General features: G+C 36.9%; 1 long non-coding RNA gene across 1 annotated transcript; it reads right to left on the bottom strand.

Moving 5' to 3' along the window:
* Positions 1–4,974: 4,974 nt before the first annotated feature.
* LOC101927269 (uncharacterized) lies at positions 4,975–7,897 on the bottom strand. Its single transcript, NR_110075.1, has 4 exons — positions 7,799–7,897; positions 7,270–7,448; positions 5,585–5,752; positions 4,975–5,035 (listed from the first exon to the last, which is right to left on the bottom strand). It is a non-coding gene; the product is annotated as an uncharacterized LOC101927269 (long non-coding RNA).

The raw sequence follows: 11,011 nt of genomic DNA on the forward strand, positions 1-11,011 counted from the left end.
GAGGCCATTATCCTAAACAAATTAACATAGGAACAGAAAACCAAGGACTACATGTTCTCGTTTATAAGTGGGAGATAAACATTGGGTACTCATGGACATAAAGACGGCAACAACAGAAACCGTAGATTACTAGAGCAGGGAGAGAGTGAGGGAGCCAAGGACTGAAAAACTATTAAGTACTCTGCTCAGTACTGTGATGATAGTATCACTCACACCTCAAAACTCAGCATCACGCAATATACTCAGGTAAGAAACCTGCACATGTACACCCTGAATTTAAAATTAAAGTTGAAATTATTTTTAAAAAACCATAAGTTTTAAAAATATAAATACATAAAAATAGCCAGAAATTTTATGAAGAATGCCTAACATTATATCTGATTATTCCACAATATCAATAATAGCTTCTATGATCCGCAGCAGCTTTCCAGGTAATGTTTTTGTTTGTTTGTTGATTGGTTGGTGTTTTTTCTTTTCTCCTGGTTACTCTATTTCATTAGTTCAATATAGTTTTTATGTTTTATTTGTTTTTTTTTTTGCCATTGTCAAAAGTTAACTTCAGTTATGCACTTATACCTTAAAATATGGTTAATATCCAAGTACTAAATTCAAATATCTTGTGTAAGTTCTCTTTAGATTTATTTAAGAAATTGTTAGCCAGGCACAATGGATCATGTCTATAATCTGGGCACTTCAAGAGGCCAAAGTGGGAGGATCACTGGAACCCAGGAAGTCATGGCTGCAGTAAGCCGTGATTGTACCACTGCACTCCAGCCTGGGTGACAGAGTGAGATCCCATCTTAAAAACAAACAAACAAACAAAGGAAAAAAAAAAAAAGAAGGCCAGGCACTGTGGCTCATGCCTGTAATACCAGCACTTTGGGAGGCCTAGGCAGGTGGATCACCTGAGGTCAGGAGTTTGAGACCAGCCTGGCCAATGTGGTGAAACCCCTTCTCTCCTAAAAATACAAAAATTAGCCGGCCGTGGTGGCCCACACCTGTAATCCCAGCTATTCAGGAGGCTGAGGCTGGAGAATCTCTTGAACTCGGGAGGCAGAGGTTGCAATGAACTGAGATCGGGCTGTTGCACTCTGGCCTGGGCGACAAGAGCAAAACTCGGTCTCAAAAAAAAAAAAAAAAAAGAGGAAGAGAGAGAAAGAAATTGTCATTAAAAGCATGAGGTAAATTTCCACCGAGAAAATGTTACTATTTCAGTTAAACAATTGTACACAGAACGATGGCTAAAACTGACATTTATTTCTGTATTGGTCAAATTTTAATCTGTCCTTTAATAAACTCCTCTGCTAAGAAGTTGATTCTTTTCTTATTATTGAATCTTATTATGTCTCTTTGATAATCAGACAATGTGGTATAAATCCTGGTTTTAGGCTATCCTTTAACTTACCATTAATTTGCTATGGATTGTACTTTGGTAAGTCTTATAAAACTTTCTTCTATGTAACTCTGAGAACTATCTTCAGATGATCAACTATTTATATAGGGAGTCTAAATTTCAGATTATAATAACACTATTTCAGTGCAATAGCTGATATTTATCTAGTACTTACTATGCTAAGTACATTATTCCATTAGATTCCCATATAGTCTATGAGATGAATACTATTACATCAATTTTAAAGATTAGGAAAATGAAGTTTGAAGAAAGTAAGCAACAAATTTACATAACTCCTAAAAGATGGAGAGACTTATGTTTCTGTTGGATTTTGGAGCCCACACTGCCACTCCCATATGGTTCTTTTTTTTTTTTTTTTTTGGAGACGGAGTCTCACTGTGTTACCCCAGACTGGAGTGCAATGGTGTGATCTCGGCTCACTGCATCCTCTGCTTCCCAGATTCAAGCGATTCTCCTACTTCAGTCTCCCTGGTAGCTGGGATTACAGGTGCCAGCCACCATGCCTGGGTAATTTTTGTATTTTAGTACAGACAAGTTTTCACCATGTTGGCCAGGTTGGTATTAAACTCCTGACCTCAGGTGATCCTCCTGCCTCAGCCTCCCAATGTGCTGGGATTACAGGTGTGAGCCACTGCACCCGGCCACTCCCAAATGGTTCTGATGCCTTAAGTGGAACTACCATTGAGTCAACACATATTCATATTATGCTGACTCTATCCCAGATACTGAAAAGGACACTAAGGATGCAAAGGTGATTCCAACAGACATGGTACCTGTCTAGGGATTGTTCAGTCTAGACACAAATGACAGCCATGGAATGCTCCAATTAAAAGAAAAATATTTTGAGTAAAACTATTTAAAACACTGGTAATCACATTATCAGGATTCATTCACGGCCGGGCGCGGTGGTTCACGCCTGTAATCCCAGCACTTTGGGAGGCCGAGGGGAGTGGATCACGAGGTCAGGAGATGGAGACCATCCTGGCTAACACGGTGAAACCCCGTCTCTACTAAAAATACAAAAAATTAGCCGGGCATGGTGGCGGGCACCTGTTGTCCCAGCTACTCGGGAGTCTGAGGCAGGAGAATGGCGTGAACCTGGGAGGCGGAGCTTGCAGTGAGCCGAGATCGCGCCACTGCACACCAGCCTGGATGGCAGAGCGAGACTCCGTTTCAAAAAAAAAAAAGAAAGAAAAGATTCATTCACAGTAAACAAACAAACAAACAAACAAAAAACTCTTCGTTGATTTCAATCTGGAAATGAAAAAGAAAAGAAGAAAAGGAAAGGAAAAAGAATTCTGACTCATTGATAGATTTGTTTAGAAATGTTTTTCTTTTTTCTGTTAGAAAGCTCAGAGTTAAAGAGTGGACAAGAGAAATAACATTTTTTCAACTCTTCCATTTTCTAAATAAAACACTGCCACTATACATTGGAGTATGGGATATTATTTCCACTTTAAAGATAAGGAAACTGACTCAAATACACGGAAAACAGGATTTAGTAAACGTGATTTATTTGGAACGTGATCTCAGATCCACAGAGGTGAGAAAAACAGGAAAGGAGAAAGAAAAAGTGCTGATTGAGAGTGTGGTCTCAGCTGGAGACGCTCTTAACTCTGATTGCATGGAGACACTCAGGAGCACAAATTGCACCACGGGGTTAGTCCATCACGGGGTTAGTCCATCCAAAAGCAAGGAGGCAGCCTTTGGTACCCCTGTGCCAGTCAATATTCATTAAAGGGCAGTTTTTTCAAGGAAGTCGGAGCTAGCTGCTGGACACTAACAGTCAAATCTCAAAGGAGCTGGGAGAGAAATGCACAAGCAGGTAAGGGGGTTCTGGTTAGGGGACCTACACCATCCACTATGCGTTTATATTTTAGTGCACCTACAGTCTATAGTTGGGTACCGAATACCATCAGTTGAGTTGCTTTGAATTCACACTCGTGTATTCCCCAGGCTTAATTAAGAGCACGTGGTGAATGGGAGGTGGTAATGACTCAGTATAAGATTACCTAGAGGCTGAATACCTAGTGGGCCAGAAAGCTGTTTTGTGAAAAGATAAAGGTTAGATTTTGCCTTTGGTCAGTTATTTGGAATTATACCCAACACCTTACTTTTCCAATCCTTTAGTTAACACCTACTATAAAAATGCTGCCTAATATAATTGCAATGATAAAGCCTATGTAAACTGTAGTTTTATATGAGTTGTTTACTCCTAATTATGGTGTTGTCTGTCAATATGGAGTTACCAGGTGGTGTGGGCAGTCACCTAGAGGTTTTTCCATCTGAAAAAGATTGCTTTAAGATCATGGTGTTTTGGACTCTCTCACTATTTTTTTTTTTATTCTTTATCACTGAAGAAAGAATGAGGCCTATAGTAGTATATAGAACACCTTATTAAAATGAATCATTTACACACATCTTTTATCTAAAAACAACATTCAATAAGTGTGAATTGAATCAAACCTGTTGGGCTGGGATAAAAGATGTAAAATCCAACCACGTGATTCTCTCAGATAAATGCCACAATACACATTCCTGAATATGTTGGATTTAGTAATATGGTGCATTTAGTAAAAGTGTTTTGTTTTTTCCTAATAAGGCCTTTTTGCTTGAGGAAACAAAATGCAGAAATTTTTGTTGTTTTCCTTCTGATTTGCTTCTCTTTGTTGTTTTCCTTCTGATTTGCTTCTCTCTGGTTGTGTTTATACTGACTACTGAAATAACAGAGTTCAATACCCAGACAACTGGTTGAATGTTAAATACAGTATGTCTCTCCCACCATTGTGTATATGAAGGGGTATCAGTGTTTTATTTGAAACAGTACGTCACTTTGGGTTTTATCCTATGATTATCTAAATTAGAGTCTATATTTAACTGCAATGACAACAGCCATAGCAACCCATGGTTTAGTAAAGCCAAGGATAACTTTAAAAATCACAGATGAAAGAGATCTGAGGTTCCCTCTTATGTACACTCTTACATGGTTTTGTTTACTAGCCACATTTTAGAGAAATATGAGTATTTCATCCAGAATAGAATACACAATTATAATTCAGAAGGAAAACATGGAATGAAAGTAAAAAGAATGAGAAAGGCAATTGAAAGCAAACAAGAATTCTAGTATAAAAATGTGTTATAAAATGTTTGAAAAATATTTAAATCATTAAATTGATTCCATTCCTAACAAAGATAACCTTTAAGAAATTAGATAACTAATGACAAGAAATAAAGTTTCATTTCATGGGCCTTTAAGAAACCATAATTTATTTATAGACATTTGGAAGCAGTCAGTATATTCTTTTGACCATAGGCACCAGTCTTAAAACCATCACATCTCTTTCAGTCTTCGTAGGGGCATTGACAACAGAGTTTCAGTGTAGTTCCTAATTAAAGATTAAGAATACTTTGAAAATATAAAACAAATGTATATTTTTTAATGTATCATTTGGGGCCTTAACCATTGAGGAAATCATAGAGAAGTTTGTCGTGAGGGACAAGGGGAATATACCACACGTTTACAGGAAACAAAAAGGTAAGAATAAGTTTTATAATTTTATTCTTTGGAGGTCATGAAAAAAATTTCTTAATATCTTTGCAATTCACCAGTTGTATTTTCTCCTAGAAAAGAAAATGTAGCAAATTTATTTGGGGAAATAATATATTTAAACAATGTAATGCATGCCATATAAGAAAATTTTTAGGGTTTTAAAATTAGTATAGCTGTGTTGACTTATGAAAATAAAAAAGGTATCTTGTCTGTCCAGAATCATTAGGCCATAAGTCATTTGGAAGATAAATATTTTCTAATGAGTTAAGAATTTATACCTTTACTCACTATAAGGATTTGCTTATATTTTAAATATTTTATAGAAGTTTTTTCTAAAATATTGTGTATGAATGTGTGTGTGTTTTTAGAGTATGGTGTGATGAATATAATTCGAGCATCATGCTGAGAGCAAAAATAGGGCTTGGCATTGATGGATCAGGATTCTAGTTTTACCTTTTAGCAGCTTTTGGGAAAGTTGCTAAAATAGTTCTGAGTCTCAAAGGTTTTATTTGTTTTTGTTTATTTTGTTTTAGTCTGTGATGTAGGGATAATGATATATTTCTTGGGATTGTTGTAAAAATTAAATTTGATTGAAATTACACAAGTTCCCTGGTACTCACCCATTCCTTAGATGACTTGAAACCATCATTGTGAACATCAGTTAAGAGATTTGTTTGACCATCTTCTAATTAAGACTGAGGTTTTTTAGTTCCTTTGTCTGATTAAACATTTTTTCTGTTTCTTTTGTCATTTCTCCTCCAATTTGCTCCCTCTAATTTACAGTAAGCCTTGAAAAACAGATATATATTTTAAAAAGGAATAAAAATACAACCATCCAAAAAGCCAACTAAAAAGTAATTCTTTGAACCACTATACTAATTGTGTACAAATGTGCTGTTCGATTCAGTAGGTCCAGTCCACATTTTAATTTTAATTAAGAGTTCAGTTCTTGAGTTTCACCTTTCAAATGGGTGATAACCACAGTAGCTAGTAGCTGCTGTACTAGATAGCATAGAGAAGCATTTCGATCATCACAGAAGATTCTGTTTTACAATGCTGGTCTACAATGTCTAAAGCTCTGAATTTGTGTTGTGGAATTCTGAAGATGAGTGGAATGTGGCTCTTGCTTTCAATGTAACTCAAGTCTGTGAAAGAAAATACTTAGGGGAAATGTTTGGAAAATATGAAAAATTCAGTGATGTGGATGATGACTATTTGACAAACATTGGGGAGTTAGCGTAAACAGTTCAGGATAAAAGGAAGATAGAAATGACTGAGCTGAAACCTAAAGCATATTAGTGATATTTGTGACCTTCCCAGTGCATGAAAGATTATAAAACATTCCAATGTGGGCCCACTTGCAAGAGGAGGCAAGGGGAAGGGGCAATTCTATTTGTATCCAGAATGTTGTATTTTTCTTTTAAAATGTTCTGTATTAAAATATTTTTACTATAAATATGTATAATTTCAATAATACAAGTTAAAAATTTATTTTAAAGAATCTTGACCTTTGTGTAATAGCATTGACTTTCTGCCCCTTTTCTCATCTCTGAAAACTCTTCCTGGCATCCCTTCCCATTTTTGTCTTTTAGCTCTCCCACACTAAGGGAGGCATCTACCCTCCTGTCCAAGCTTCATGTACGCTCGTGAGCTTGAATGCCGTTTCTTTTTATCTCAAATATCACCTGATATTTTATTCTTTTTCTCTTCTCTCTTCAAACATACCTTCTCTATGATTTTTCCCTTCAGTCTATAAATACATGTAAGGTTTCTGAATCAACCAACCCCCTGTTGATCCTACTTTTCTGTCAGTCTCCCTTTTCCACCAAATTTTCTAAAAACATGGCTTCAATTTGTTGTCTCCAATTCCTCACTTATAATTTACTCTTCAACTCTGAAATTGAATTTTTCCTCTAAGCATGAAATTGCTGTATCATTTACCAAGGTCTCCAGTTATTGTCATCAACAATTAATCTTGTCAATTCTAGCAGACCATTTATAGTTTATCTTTTTCTTGGGAAATATGTTGATCACTCCGTTTACCTATGTTAATGACACCACAATCTGTCTTATGTATATATGAGACAGAGATATCTGAGCACATCTACAATTGCCCATTAAGTAAATATTTTCACAAGGATTTGCCGTAGGCAATTCAAACTTTTCTTTAACATGAACTGGTCATCTCACCAAAATTTCCTCCTCCTGTCCCAGGTAGCAATGATTGATACCTCCTTAAAGTCCCTCTAATCCAATCCATCCTTTCCACCCCCACTATCATTGACTTCATGCAAATGTAACTTACTCACAAAGTCTCTGACTGAATGTTCGCCCTTCTCCAATCCATTGTCCACGCTGCCTCCTGGGTGATTTTTCCAGTATCAAATCAGCTGTATCAGTTCCTTTTCTGTTTCCTTTATTTTTAACTTGCTTTTCTGCTACAGCTCTCTGATAGTTTCTCTCACTTTTAAAAATACCTATTGCCTAAATAAATAATTTTTTCTTTTTAAGAGAAAGCAAACACAGAATTTTCAAGGTTTTAGCACTACATTGAGAATCTCCTGAAAAGCATCCAAATATGACACTTTTCCTTGAGTTTCACCTTCCCTTGAGGGTCTGTCACAGTCACACTGCCACCGCCAACATGCTAGGTTCTGAAGATGCCACTTCTCTGATAAATTTTGGTTTCAGACAATACCTAATCTCTTTACACAATACTCAGAGAAGGACCAAGTATAAATATAATTATAACTAAATGTTATAAAATATATAATTAAAATTTTAGGGAGGACTGTAAGAAAATCAGCAAGGGAAATCACAAAAGTAACACTTACTGGTTTTATTATTTTAAATCTTGCTGCCTTCTTTGTTTTTAAAAAGCTCTATAGATCTCTTAGGCCAACGTGTTACATGAAGAGAAAGTAGGCTTCTCGCATAGCTGTTCAACTGCTTTCCTAGTTTATGAATAAATAAGCCAAGATCAATAGAGTGCTGTTTCCATTCCCTCTCTATTGGCTTGTGATTGTCTATGCAGAGGCTGATGCCAGGCTCTGGCAGAACATTAATGTGGACTCACAGTTATGGATACATGATTCACATTTAAAAATCCAATAAGAACCAGAGTTGGCAGGCACGAGCCTGGCAGATTGGCAATTATTTTGACGATGTGAAAGTTGTTTTTTAACTTTCCTATAAAATACATGTGCATGATATGACGCTGCTTTTAGAAGAATTCAATGAATATTTCGTGGCTGTTGTGAATAGAAAGTTGCTCTTGATAATGCAACTAGGACTAGTCTCAAGACACAATTGGCTCAGTGGCCTAATTACTGTCAATGCCATCAGTGAGAAGGGTTTATTATTAGTTATTCTCAAATTACTATCTTAAATAATTTCCAATATTCTATCAGGTCGTGGCAGAGAACTCCACACAGAAAATCAATCAGCTTAAAAACCCGAAGACAGGTTTTGCAGTTAATTTGTATGGGTTTGGGTAAAGGGGAACCAGGAGACATGAGAATGCCACTTTAATAAAAACTACATGGTCACATGGTCATTAATTATCTTATGTCTTAGGCTGGGCACAGTGGCTCAGGCCTATAATCCCAGCACTTTGGGAAGATGAGGTGAGAGCCTCACTTGAGCCTGGGAGTTTGAGACCGGTCTGGGCAACGTAGCCAGACCCCAATTCACAAAAAACAAAAAGAATTACCTGGCTCTGGTGGCTTGCATTTATAGTCCTAGCTACTCAGGAGGCTGAGGTGAGAGGATCGCTTAAGCCTGGGAAGTTGAGGCTGCAGTGAGCTAGGATCACTCCACTGTACTCCAGCATGGGCAACAGTGAGAACTTGTCTCTCAAAAATATATATATATAAAAATTATAATGCCTCATTAAATTAAAATTTTTCCTTATAAAATGAGACTGTCCCATAAGAAGTATGTGAAACATTATTTAATTTCTTTAGTTCACATGTGGATTAAATCTTTCATGTCACGAGCATATCTGCATTGGCCTATGTGTGAACCTATAGTGATGTTTATGTTCATAATAATGATCTTGAAACTTTTCATAGAAAATCCTTATATTTTTTAAGACATTGTTTTGTATAGTTTCAATGTTAAGATTAATTTAAGGTTAAAATTAATTTAATTGCAACCAGAGTATTTTATTTTATTTTATTTTGAAACGAAATCTTGCTCTGTCACTCAGGCTGGAGTGCAGTGGTGTGATCTTGGATCTTGGCTCACTGCTACCTCTGCCTCCCAGGTTCAAGCGATTCCCCTGCCTCAGCCTCCCGAGTAGCTGCGACTACAGGCATGTGCTACCATGCCCAGTGAATTTTTTTTTTCTTTTTTGTATTTTTGGTAGAGACTTGGTTTTACCATGTTGACCAGGCTGGTCTTGAACTCCTGACCTCAAGTGATCTGCCTGCATTGGCCTCCCAAGGTGCTGGGATTACAGGCATGAGCCACAGCACCCAGCCCTCAACCAGAGTCTTTTTTTTTAACTTTTAGGTTAAAGGGTACTTGTGCAAGATGTTACATAGGTAAATGTGTGTCATGGGGGTTTGTTGTACAGATTATTTCTTCACCCAGGTAACTAGTACCCATTAGTTATTTTTCGTGATCCTTTCTCTCCTCCCACCCTCCACCCTCCAAAAGTCTCCAGTGTGTGTTGTTTCCCTTTATGGGTCTCTGTATTCTCATCATTTAGCTCCCACTTATAAGTGAGAACATGCGGTATTTGGTTTTCTGTTCCTGCATTAGTTTGCTAAGGATAATGGCCTCCAGCTCCATCCATGTCCCTGCAAAGGATGTGGTCTCATTCTTTTTCATGGCTGCATAGTATTCCATGGTATATATGTATCACATTTTCTTTACCCATTCTATCATTGATGGGCATTTGGGTTTATTCCATATCTTTGCTATTGCGAATAGTGCTGCAGTGAACACACACGTGCATGTGTTTTCATAATAGAACAATTTATATTCCTTTGGGTATATACCCAGTAATGGGATTGCTGAGTCAAATGGTAGTTCTGTCTTTAGGTCTTTGAGGAATTGTCACACTGTTTTCCACAATGGTTGAACTAATTTACACTCCCACCAACAGTGTATATGCATTCGTTTTTCTCCACAACCTTGCCAGCATATTATTTTTTGACTTTTTAATTATAGCCATCCTGATTGGTGTGAGATGCTTTCTCATTGTGGTTTTGATTTGCATGATGTTGAACTTTTTTTTCATATGATTGTTGGTTGCACGTATGTCTTCTTTCAAGAAGTGTCTGTTCATGTCATTTGCCCACTTTTTAATGGCATTGTTTTTTTCTCATCAATTTAAGTTCTTTATAGATGCTAGATATTAGCCCTTTGTCAGATGCATACTTTGCAAAAATTTTCTCCCAGTCTGTAGGTTGTCTGTTTACTCTGTTGATTGATTCTTTTGCTGTGCAGAAGCTCTTTAGTTTATTTAGACTCCATTTGTCAATTTTTGCTTTTGTTGCAATTGCTTTTGGTGTGTTTGTCATGAAATCTTTGCCCATGCCTGTGTCCTGAATGGTAATTGCGTAGGTTATCTTCCAGGGTTTTTACAGTTTGGGGTTTTACATATAAGTCTTTAATCCATCATGGTTAATTTTTGTATATTGTGTAAGGAAGAGGTCCAGTTTCAATTTTCTGCATATGGCTAGCCAGTTATCCTAGCACCATTTATTAAGTAGCGTATCCTTTTCTCTATTGCATTTTTGTCATTTTTGTCAAAGATCAGATAGTTCTAGGTAAATGGTCTTATTTCTGGGCTCTCTATTCTATTCCATTGTTCTATGTGTCTGTTTTGGTTACTGTAGCCCTGGTAGTACAGTTTGAAGTTGGGTAGTGTGATGCCTTCAGCTTTTTTTTTTTTTTAATATTCTCTTAAGAGTTTATTATAAACCAGTTTCATGGGCCACAAGGAAATAAAAGGACTATGTACAGCCTTTCAGGAAAGAGGCAGGGAGCTAGGAGGGCCAAGATGAGTCTAGGGTCTTGATGGGCACATTCTCAGG

This window comes from Homo sapiens, chromosome 7 (genome assembly GCF_000001405.40).
Source record: "Homo sapiens chromosome 7, GRCh38.p14 Primary Assembly".
In the NCBI taxonomy this organism is placed as follows: domain Eukaryota; kingdom Metazoa; phylum Chordata; class Mammalia; order Primates; family Hominidae; genus Homo; species Homo sapiens.